The 11,948-nt window shown below is 40.8% G+C and overlaps 1 protein-coding gene across 14 annotated transcripts in view; it reads left to right on the forward strand.

Moving 5' to 3' along the window:
* The window catches only part of CRIM1 (cysteine rich transmembrane BMP regulator 1), a 195,358-nt gene that overhangs the window by 80,399 nt on the left and 103,011 nt on the right, over positions 1-11,948 (forward strand). For 11 of the 14 annotated variants that reach the window (XR_007076383.1, XM_011532898.4, XM_011532899.4 and 8 more), the window contains 2 exons: positions 5,082-5,324; positions 6,439-6,559. Coding sequence is in view for 13 of the 14 variants with exons in the window: in XM_011532898.4 (XP_011531200.1) it covers positions 5,082-5,324; positions 6,439-6,559 (364 nt within the window). In the remaining variant the exon portion in view is untranslated. Of the gene's footprint in view, positions 1-5,081; positions 5,325-6,438; positions 6,560-11,948 lie in introns of those variants that run through there. The other 3 variants (XM_017004258.3, XM_017004260.3, XM_047444645.1) reach the window with 2 other exon arrangements.

The following is an 11,948-nucleotide window of genomic DNA, read 5'->3' on the forward strand; positions in this document are numbered from 1 at the left end:
GGAGAATTTATAGAAAAGGCTGAAAAAAAAGGTTTCAGAAAAACAATTCCTGATGTTATGGTAATTGTACTACATTTAAGTGACAAGCTGATGACTAGTTCGGGGCAGAGGAAGATGCAGGGTGAGTAGGGATTCTAGATAATTTATTGAAAGGTGAATAGAGGGTTGAAAGAAGAGAAAAAGGAATGTTAATTACAAAATAAGAAAGATGGAGACTTTTGAAATCTAAATTATTTGAAAGCATAACTTCACAATTTGAAGGCTTGAATCTTATGCCTGCTAGTCATGAAGTTAAAAACATAGCTTTGAAAAATTAAAGTAAGTGCTGGAAATTTGAAGAGAAGTTACTGGCTCGTAGTAGATTTTACAGATCCCTCTTGGAAATCAGGTAAAAAATGGGAGGTATAGGTAATCAGAATGTCATAATTAAGCTTGATTTAATAGATAACGCAAGATTATATGTAATAAACAGAGGATATATGTTCTTTTCAAATACCCATCTATTTTAAAATTGGTTATGAGACCACACATACATACACACACGTGCTAAAAACCAAAAACATGCAAAACTCAAGAAGTTAACAAAAGTAGAGAATTGTACAGCCTACATTCCATTCTCTGGCAACCAGGCAGTAAGACTATAAATTAAAAAAGAAAGCTCCCCAAAATGTAGCTATGCAGAAATTTAATATCACTCTTCTAAAAAGTCTTTAAAAAGGAAACATATAAATTACTTAGCAACAAGTCACACTGAAAGCAATACATTATCAAAAATCAGAATATAACCAAAGCAATATTTGATTGAAATATTCAAAGCATAATTAAAATTGTTTGTATAATAACTCTTTAAGAAATGTGTTTGTTATAAGACAACCAAATAGAAATGAACCAAGCATTAATCTTAAAACACTAGAGGAGGCTGGGCACGGTGGCGCACGCCTGTCATCCCAGCACTTTGGGAGGCCGAGGCGGGCAGATCACGAGGTCAGGAGATCGAGACCATCCTGGCTAACACGGTGAAACCGTATCTGTACTAAAAATACAAAAAATTAGCCGGGCGAGGTGGTGGGCGCCTGTAGTCCCAGCTACTCCGGAGGCTGAGGCAGGAGAATGGCGTGAACCGGGGAGGCAGAGCTTGCAGTGAACCAAGATTGCACCACTGTACTCCAGCCTGGGTGACAGAGCGAGACTCCATCTCAAAAAAAAAAAGAGTTAGTGTAACTTTGAAACTAAAATTGGATAAGGCCAACATAAAAAGAGAGAGAACTAAAGATGAACATTACTCAAGTTTATAAATTTAAAAATCTTAAAATGTTAGGAAGTCAAATTCAACAGGATCTTTAAAAACAGTTTATTCTTAGAACACAAGGATGATTTAAAATCCAACCGATTATATTAATAAAGAGAAAGCCAGTGTGATTGATCATCTTGAAAAGTTGAAAAGCATTTAATAAGATTTAACCTGCATTTTTAACATTCTTACATCCCTTCTAGCCGTCAAACTCTGATCGACTTACACTTAAGACTGTGTCTTTGGTAGCCTACCCTATTCCACTTTTATTACAAAGGCAGCTCTTAAGACATAAATCCATCTCTTCAGGCTCGAACTGCAAAACACACGTCGAGAGGTGACAATGTTGGGACTGTCAAAAAGAACTTAAAGAGTGGGATAACCAGCCGGGCGCGGTGGCTCACTCCTGTAATCCCAGCACTTTGGGAGGCTGAGGCGGGTGGATCACAACATCAGAAGATCGAGACCAGCCCGGCCAACATGGTGAAACCCCATCTCTACTAAAAATACAAAAATTAGCTGGATGTGGTGGCACGCACCCGTAGTCCCAGCTACTCAGGAGGCTGGGACAGAAAAATTGCTTGAACCCAGGAGGTGGAGGTTGCAGTGAGCTGAGATTGTGCCACTGTACTCCAGCCTGGCAACAGAGCAAGACTCCATCTCAAAAAAAAAAAACAAAAAAAAAGAGTGGGATAACCAGTAAGATCTAATATGTTGGGTTTTAATGGAGATGTTTAATTGAAGCATATGTTTCAAAATTCTGATTATTACATACTAAATATTTTGTAAAATAAAAATGTAATAGAATATGATAAGAATATATTAATGACAGCAAATTAACAAGAGTAGGAATTAAGTGCTATTTGCAATCAAAGTCACAAAGCTTTTCTTAATTATAAAACAATGTGTTTGCCAGATAAGCAGTCTACCAAATGCAGTTTACAAACTCCAACTTAATCTGCATACATTCAAGATTCGCCTTCTCCTCCTCACCTCTTTGATTTATTCTCCTCCACACTGATGGGGCTCTGAGAGTGGAATTCCTTATTAGTTAATCATGTTCTCTTCTCACGGCAGTTCCTTGGGGGGTTATACTATGAAAGTGGGCTAGATGGATTCTCTGAGACTCCTGTTTGACCCAAGCACATGTGGCGTATAGGCTGTAGCTCCCATGAGACATGCAGTGAGATAAGACTGGTAAGAGGGAGCAGGGATGTAGCTAACCCGGTAGCTTTAACAAAAACCACATTTCTGAAAGGGAAGGAGCTGTGCCCAGAGAAATCAGCTGATGACTCAGGATCACAGTAGTGATTCCTGAGACAGGAGTCATATTATTACAGAGGAACATAGCTGGAACTGGATGGACCAAGTTTCACATCACCACATCACCATTTACTAGCTGTGTGACCTTGGGCAAATAAATCTGAATCTCAGTTTCATCATCTGTAAAATGGAGCAAATAATAACTAACCTTCTGGGGTTATTGTGACATGAGCACATGGCATGTGTGTTAATGAAGTCTGTTCTTAGGACAGAGGCTGTTTTATTTTCCATTCTGCTTTAAGCTGCTTATTGGATATTGGCATGTGGGTGATAGCCACAGGGAGGGTAGAGGCCTGCAAATGAATGTTTCCCCTGAGTGAGGCACAGGTGCCATGAAGTGGTATTCTATCCAACAGGAAAATTAAGTGTAGTCATAAGGTAGGTGGCAGAAGGAAGGCAGCATTAAGACTCAACCCATCTCATCTCGTTCTCCAACACACCCGGTACCCAGCTGTGGTAAACAGTGCTAGTATTTGTCTTCCTCCATATTCTTTCTTGCCAAGTGCCTTTCCAACCTCCTCCCACGTCTCCTTCCTCCCCAGATATTGTGTGCCTTCCTGTTGTTGCCCAGGTTCCCAAAGTCCTATCTTTCTAAGAAGGGACCTGTTTTTCTGAATTATTCTCTTCCTCTTTCTATATAATCAAATCTCTAATTTGTCCCATAGTGAACGGTACAGTCTTGAAAATGGCATAAGGGGTTCTAAATCGCCAGGTACCCCTGCTGCTCATCCAACCTCATCTCCTGTTTGTCCTCTCACTGTGCCTCAGCCACACTGACGTTCTTACTCTTCCTGGGACACACAAGCCTGCGTCAGCAGTTCCTTCTGCTGGGATGCTCTTCTCCAAAGTATCTCCGTGGCTCGTCCCCTCACTCCTTCAAGTCTTTGTTCAGCCGTAAACTTCTCAATCATGCCCATCCATTCTCACCACATTGTAACTGCTACCCACTTCTTCTAAGCATTCCAATTCCCTCTTACTCTGTTCTTGTTTTCCCCTCATAGCACATATCACCCTTTACTACTATATAATTTGCTTCTTTATAATGTTTGTTACTTATGTTCTGTCATCCTCCACCACCATATCAACTAACAAGGTCAGGAACCTGTGTCTTTCCTCTTTACTGACATATCCCAAGCTGCTGAAGCAACAGGTGCTCAGTCAATGTTTCAGTGAATTTACTAGAACTATAAGTATGAAGAGTCTCCTATATTATGTCTTAGGTAGACAAGAAATAGATAAGGAAGAGGAAAGATACAGCAATCAAGGTAGAAAATGACTAGAGGAACAGGCATGGTTTTAAAAAGAGATCCACTGCTATGATATCAAGACCTGAGTGGACTGGAATGAGGTGACCTGGATTCTTGCTTTAAGTTTACCAATGACCTTAGCCAGGTCACTTAAGCTCTGGGGCCTCAGACGTTCTTTATCTACAAAATGAGAAAACTAAACTAGGTGACCTTTTGGGTCTTATCCTACTACCCAATTCTGTGTTTGGGTTTTACTTTAGGAAGACCAATTAACACTTACGGAAACATTGCCTGGTACTAACTGGCATCAATTTCACCTAATGTCTCCTGAACTCCCCATCTCCCACCAAAGGTCCTGGGCTGGGATGATGTCTTTTAGTCTATTTCCATCTTTTCCTCAAGGGCCTTATGTTCGTATAGGTCTCTTAAAACTCAACCCAAGAAGCTAAACTGTGGACTGGGGTTTCAGAAGCCAGGGCTTTGCTCCTCCATCGTAAAATCTGAGTAAACCCACATTGTTTTATTTTTCGCATCTCTAAAATTGAGATACAGCAATGGGTCGGCAGATAATATTAGACAGAGGGGAATAAGGTGCATTTGATGGAGCTCTGCTAGAAATAGAAGCACATCAGGTGCCATTTCAGGAAATTACACGGGAATTTGGCTCATTATCCATCTTGCTAAGCTGCCACATCGTAAAGTCACAGACTATTAATAGAATACCATTGATAACTCAGAGTGTGCAGGTAGAGTTCCTCCATGTTGATTGTCGTACACATTGTCTCCAGTTTCTGAAGTAGCCATGATTTGTTTGTGTTTTAAGGTACACTGTTTTCAAAGAACAGCCTTTAAAGCTCTTTTGAATTCAAAGATCTTTCAGTTACTCAAGGAATGGGTCCAGTTTTCAGATTCTCCACGCCATGGGTGCATCTTCCCTTCAGCTTTCTTCATTTTGGTCATTGCTCCAGATGTTCATTGTTTAACACAAGTGGGTAGGGAGACGGAGAAGAAGGGAATTTCAGGCTCATATTTTGGTGTCATGGGCAGATCTTGGGTGAGGTTTTCATTGTTAGTTAAACTAAGTTTGAAGGTTTACACTGAATTTCTTTCCCTACCGTCCTCTTTGGCTACTTAAATAGATCATCAGGACTGTTTGTTCTTCTGTTGAAAGTGCCCCACACTGCCCTGGGCATAAGCTAAATTCTTTCTCTCCCTTTTAGAAGAGAAGCCAGATTGCTCCAAGGCCCGCTGTGAAGTCCAGTTCTCTCCACGTTGTCCTGAAGATTCTGTTCTGATCGAGGGTTATGCTCCTCCTGGGGAGTGCTGTCCCTTACCCAGCCGCTGCGTGTGCAACCCCGCAGGCTGTCTGCGCAAAGTCTGCCAGCCGGGAAACCTGAACATACTAGTGTCAAAAGCCTCAGGGAAGCCGGGAGAGTGCTGTGACCTCTATGAGTGCAAACCAGGTATGCACGAGCTCTGTCTCAGCAGCCTTGTTCCTTTGCATCAGAGGGTAGCAGATCCCTCCTCAGCCACCCCTGGCCTCTCCTTTCACACGAAGATGGGCCTTCTCACCGGTGTCCTGTGAATCTGCCACTTTGGGCTAATGGCAGCTTGACTTCTGGCCTTCTAGTCAGAGAACCAGAGTGATCATCCACTGGTACATAAGCGCCTTCGGAGAGCGAGCGTGTCTTTTCCTCTTTTCTTCTTTTTTTCCTTCAAAGTATGCTTGACTGGGGAGGTAGGGTTAAAATTTATGGTACTATGGCAATCTGCTTCATTTCCCCAGAGAAGGTCAGAGACCTTATTTGCAGCTATATCTGCCACTTTGAATTATTACATTTAAAAACAATCATCATACGTAAAACAGAAAGTTATTTTTAGATGAATACATGCATCAAAACGCCAGAAGTTTCATAATGCAACACTCAGCCCCAATCTTTCTCTTTGCCAATTCCCCCGCATCTGCCCTCTTTACTTTATAGCATGTGCCAAGTCATCTTTGACTGTTTACTCACCCTCTTTGCCAACATTTGATGTACTGTTGTATCCCAGCTGTTTCTTGCTTTATATTATTTCTAACATCCTTGCTCTTGTGGCAGCATTTCCGATGTGGTCTGTGAACACTTCTGAGTTATAGCGATTTCCTCTTTGCAAGTTTCTAATCATCGGCCAGTTGTTTTTTTGTTTGGGTTTTTCTTTTTCTTTCTTTCTTTTTTTTTTTTAACTGCTAGATAAACGCTCCAAGCAAAGTGATCCTTTGTCCGTCTCTTGAACTATTCTATCAATCAGAAATGCCTCTGGCTAACTGTCACTATCCATGTAACCACTGCTGGTTTAATTCTTTCTCTGTCTTCATTGTAGCTCTTAAATATCTCATCCCCACCTCTTTCCTTACACAGAAAATTTGAGGAATATTGCAGTTCTATAGCATTAACTGGAGTAACATGTCGACACTAGGACTGGGTTTGTGGAAGCAAGGAGACTTTGGACATTTGTCAAGAGCTAGTATTTCATTTAGGGACTCCAAAAGCAAGTAAATATAACAATAAACGGTGCCTCTCTGTTTGCCCCTTTCAGTTTTCGGCGTGGACTGCAGGACTGTGGAATGCCCTCCTGTTCAGCAGACCGCGTGTCCCCCGGACAGCTATGAAACTCAAGTCAGACTAACTGCAGATGGTTGCTGTACTTTGCCAACAAGGTTAGTTTGCCATTAGTTTGTCAAGTTTTCTCCTCATTTGTTAGCATCATCTAAGGTACATTTTGAGCATGCAGTTTGTTTTCCCATGAGAAACCTAGTCCTTTCCTGTTTCTCTGGAAGAAATCACTGAACTGTTTGCATTACTTGGTATTTATATGTATCTTTCCTCAGATCAAAACCAGGTGTCATCAGGTTAAGTCGTTAAACCTTATAGATTCTTTCTGTAAGGGTGCCTGTACACTTTTGAGGGCTGGGACCTATATAAGCAAATATGCCCCTCTGTATATAGATAGGGAGGCAGGCAGTGAGGTGTCTATCAAGAGTAGACACATCATTTGATCCTCTGCAGTGAATCTTGTAGGTGCTTAAACAACATGTTCAATGTGATGAAACATTGGGACCCTTGATGTTTGGAATCACACATCTACCCAGACCCATTTCTTGCTGAGGTCAAGAGGAGTCTTAATTCTTACAATGCTTTCTGGAATAACAAACACATCTCTCTTTGGCTTGACTGCGGGGAAGAGCCACTGTCATTTTAACCCTAGTAGCAGGGCATGCACTTAGCCCCCTAGAACTAGTTTTTCTCTAGAACATGAGGATCTCCGGGTCCTGTCCTTTTTAGTCTACAAAGCACCACCATAGAGCTGTCCCTCCTTCGTACTTGGCTTTGGGGAAGACTGTTCTTGGAAATGTAGGGTTTACAGTCTGTTTTCCCCCGACTACTCACCCCTCTTCTCTGCCATGACCTCCCTTCCATCTTTTGCAGGTCAACAAGCCATCTTTATGACTAAGTCATTTCATGTTTTTCAGCTTTCGTTCTGCGTTTAATAGGATGAGTTAAAACTGTGCCTTATTTAACTCAATTTCCAACCTCTTCTTCCTCAGTCCCAGTGCTAGGCATTTAGCTTCTGGGTTTGTTGCATGAGTACCTGTGATTATGCAAATGGTTGGATAAGATAGGAGTAGATGTGGTCCATAGGTAAGGTAAGTATCAGTTATCTGTCCGTAATTGAAGAGACATCCAGAATTTGTTCTGATAATTACTTTTTCCTTCTTTCTTCTCATAAAATAAGTTAAATCCTTGGCATCTCCTAGCCTTTGTTCTGTCAAACCTAGTATTCTCTAAGACATATCCTTTATACTGTATTATAAAACAGATGCAAAGATTTTTGTGAAGATAACATACATTGGTGCAGCCACCTTCCTATGACATTAGAATATGATAATTTATGTGCAGATGCTTAGGAAGGGGTGAAATATCTTGCAAACATAAGGTATTACTAATCAGTAAAGGAGATAAATGGAGCATCGCTAACAGTAACAGATGTCCCTTCAGGGTCTTCCTGAAAAGGAAGGTGGTACATTATATTGGAGAACCTAATTAATCAAAACTAAGCCGGTTGTTAACGAGGTAGTCCTTTAGTGAGGAAAATGGACAATTCTCAGTTCACTATTATAAATGCCACATAGAGCCATCTGCACATAGGAGGCACGGTCAGCTATTTTTTCAGTCACTCTAGGGGGTTGAAATGGGTAGAAGCTACAGGAAGGTATATTTAGTCTCAATTTAAGAAGAAACTTTCCCACAACTAGTGATGTTCTGTAATGAATTGGCTGCTTCCTGAGGCAGACAGAGCTCCTTGGAGCTGGATAGATTTCTTTCCGTCTGGATGGCCACCTGCCCGGAATGCTTACAAGAATTGTATTAGGTTGGAAAGGAGGTTGAACTAGCTGCCTTCCATTTTATCCTCAAGCTTCTGTGAGTCTAGAAAATAAAACTTGAAGATGATTATTACTGTGTTGACATAATTTTGACTTCAGCATTCAAAAATGAAGAATGGCCAGAGTTAAATTTGCCTCTAATGAAGACATTGAAAACATAGAGAAGGAAGTCATTCAACATCCCACTGTAAATTATTTGCAGAGAAGGGATAGGTTCTCACAGCTCTTTAGTTTCCTGTATGTCAGATCATCAGTGACCCATACTCATCCCCTGCTCATTTGTTCGCTTTGAACAGGGTCTCCTCCTCCAGCTCTCTCACGAGTCCTGTGCCTTTGCAGTTGCCACTACCTCTTCCCGGACTCCCTTCTGCATACATATAGGCAGCTTCTACCTCTCCTTCAAGACTGCATTTCCTGCTCTTTGAAGTGTTGTCACTCTTCGGCCCCTGAAGATGACTTAAGTGTCCCTCTCTGCTCCCTTGTCATCCATCCCCTGTGTATCTTTTTATCATAGCACTTTTCATAACACATTGAACATACTGATGTTTTTTTGTCTGTCTCTCCTGTCCTGTGTGATTGTCAAGGAAAGGGAGTATTTTGTAGCCTCTTGTACCTAAATATAATGTGTCAGCCCACATCTGTTGGTGAATGAATGGATGAACAAACAGGCCCTCTCTTAGCCAAGATGATTTATATGTTGAAGAAAAGAAAAAGAATGAATATTTTTAGTTTCTAGTTACCTTCCTGCCATTGGGTTGTAATACTACTCCCTGTCTCATTTTCAAATCCTTGCACTTTTCCCCCAGTCCCCACTTTATGGTGCGGTACTCCTCAATCCTGTAGAAACCCTCCATTCCAAGCACAGCAGTCATCTCTCACAGCATGGGATGCCTTTCACTCTCCATTCCATCTCTTTTCATATTGCTCATCCAGCAGGACTCTAATTAATTTCTCCTCTGTCCACGTGGTCTTCATGCTTCAACCAACAGGTCCCACTGCCTAGAAACTTCCCACATAATCCTTTCCTATGCTGTCAGTTAATTATCGACTTTCATACATTGTTACTGAATTGTCGAATGCGTGAAGTCTTGTCTTATCAGCTATACGATGTTCCTAAAGGTCAGGAATTGTGTCATCTTTTCTTTTCCTCTGTATGCATTAGTGCTGAATGAGTCGGTAAATGCAGAATATACTCAAGCTGTGGCTTAGACCCATTCAGCCTAGTTTAGCATATTCAGTGGATTCCTGCTTACTAAGGAGGGTGATGGGATGATAGGTTGTACATTGATTAGAGAATAACAACCCAAATAATCATGTGAAAATGGAAAAAAAAAAGCCTAACATGTAATAATAATGGTAGTATTTTAAGAGAAAAACTACGTAACTTTATTCTTGTGTGTGAGCCATGTCAAATGTCCACTCTTTAAGAGCATATTTAGGCATAAAGAAGAAGATTATAGAACATATAAGATCCTATTATGATTATTTGACTTTTACCAGCATACTTATAAGAGCATTGTTAAGAAATTAGAGCCATTTGAGAGCAAAGCTGATTATGTGGAGAAATCAGGGGAGAAAGCTATTTACATTTTAGGACATAATAAGGTAAAATATCTGAAACTTTAGCTGTAAAGAATTACATTCAGTGAAAGTAACAACTCCCTTTTTATAAGAATTTATTGCACTTTCATGGGCTAGAAAGTGGGTTTGTGGACTTTTCTCCCCTATCTTGAAGAATACATTCCTCCCTCCTTCATTCCCATCCAAATGGAATTGCCCTTCCCTATGAGACTATTTCACCCATTCGGGCCCTTAACTGCCCCATTTCTGTGTGAGCTTGATTTGTTAGTTTTCTCTGGAATTGTATGTTTTCAGTTGATTCATTCATCTATTCATCAAACATGAATTGAGTTCTTAAGAGTGACAGACACTATTCTCCGGATGTTCTTACTGTGCATGGGTTTCACTTTCCACTTCTATCCCTCACAAATACTGGTTTTCCCTTCTACCTGTGGCCTTTGTGAGTATAGGCTCTTCCTTATTTCCTTGCTGCCTTTCTGTCTTGTTTAATGGCCTTTCATTTTCACTTCTTTTGTGTCTTTTCTCTTGAACTTCATCCTGTTTAAACATCATTCTTGTGTGTGATGTAATTAATTTTTAACCATTATTTGATTCTTCCTTCCCTCAACTTGGCATAGATTTCCAGGCATCCCGCCGTTTCTTTTTATCCTTTTTTCTTCTGTTGGCATGAAGACATGATATGAGTTATATGGCAGTGCATTCTACCTTTCAGGAGAGGGTGGAGAGGGATAAGAATTAGTGGCTCTGGGACTTATACTGGGCCTAAACACTACACAGTGACAAAAAGGGAAAATGGGACTGTCTGTGAGGTTTAGGACACCTTGTGGTCCTTGAAAGTCCCTTTGTGAGTGTCTGCATGTGTGTGCATGTACAGATGCTGCTGTGCATAAGAGAATTTACAACAGAAACTTAAAAGACAGATACATTAATGCAAATTATTTCTTTGCAGGGAAGAAAAAAACCAAGATAGTCTTTAAGTGACATATAGATAACAATAGCAGTCACACCTTAAATGTGTAAAGTGCCTTGCTGTTTATAAAGCATTTTCCCTATTCATATCTTACCATCACTTTAATTCTATGAGGAATTTATAGGTATGAGAATGGAGATTGAGATAATAAGAGACTTGCAGAAAATCACAAATTTTCCTTGGTACAAGAGACAGAGCAGGTTCAAGGCTTCAACCCAGGTTTTTTAATTTTTTTTTTATTGAAAACCCTGTGCTCTTTCCACTGGAGCTTTTTTGATAACAATGTTTTGTTGTTTTTAAGTCCAAGAAATATATCGGGGAATATGAATTTATATCTCACCAACACATTTCTATCTGCATACCACATACGTGTTTCAGTTATTCACTGCTGTGTAACAACCGCCCCAAAAGAAGTAGCTGAAAATGACAAAGATTTATTCTTTGTCCTGATTCTGTGTGTTGACTGAGCAGTTCTTCTGTAGCCAGCTGGCAGGTTGACTGAGACTGGATGTCCCTCCCATGTTTGGAAACTCAGCTGGGATGGCTGGAAAGACCCCTCTCCCTACATGATGTCAGAAGCAGGAGAGGAAGTTGCAAAGCCTTTGGAGACCAAGAGTTGGAAGTTACAGAACACTTCTGCCATGTTCTGTTGGTCAAAGGAAGTCCCAGGTCAAGCCCTCATTCAAAGGTTTGGAAAGTAGGTTCCACTTCTTGATGAGATAAGCCACAAAGAATTTGTGGCCATTTTTAATCCACCCTAATCTACATTTAACCAAGATAGATGCCCTTTAGTTTTCATTTTCTGATTGCAGGAATTTGGTGGTGTGTTTCAGAAACGTGATTCTTTTCCAAAAACTCATGCCCTTCTGGCCCTGGAACTCTGGGTCTTCAGGTGAAATTCGGGCAGCATTATAGTTAAGCCCCCTGTGTGCCCAGCAGCTCTTTTTCTGCTTCTTTCTTCACTTGCCATTTGGCAGTCCACCCAGGAGCAGACACGTGATTTAAGAGCCTCTGAGCCACCGCTTCAGCTTTAATATCATTTAGCCAACCATTATTTTTAACCTTCCGCTTCTTGAAGAGTGCTGTGACCACCTAGGTTAAACTAGGTTTTCT

Source organism: Homo sapiens, chromosome 2 (assembly GCF_000001405.40).
Source record: "Homo sapiens chromosome 2, GRCh38.p14 Primary Assembly".
Taxonomy (NCBI): domain Eukaryota; kingdom Metazoa; phylum Chordata; class Mammalia; order Primates; family Hominidae; genus Homo; species Homo sapiens.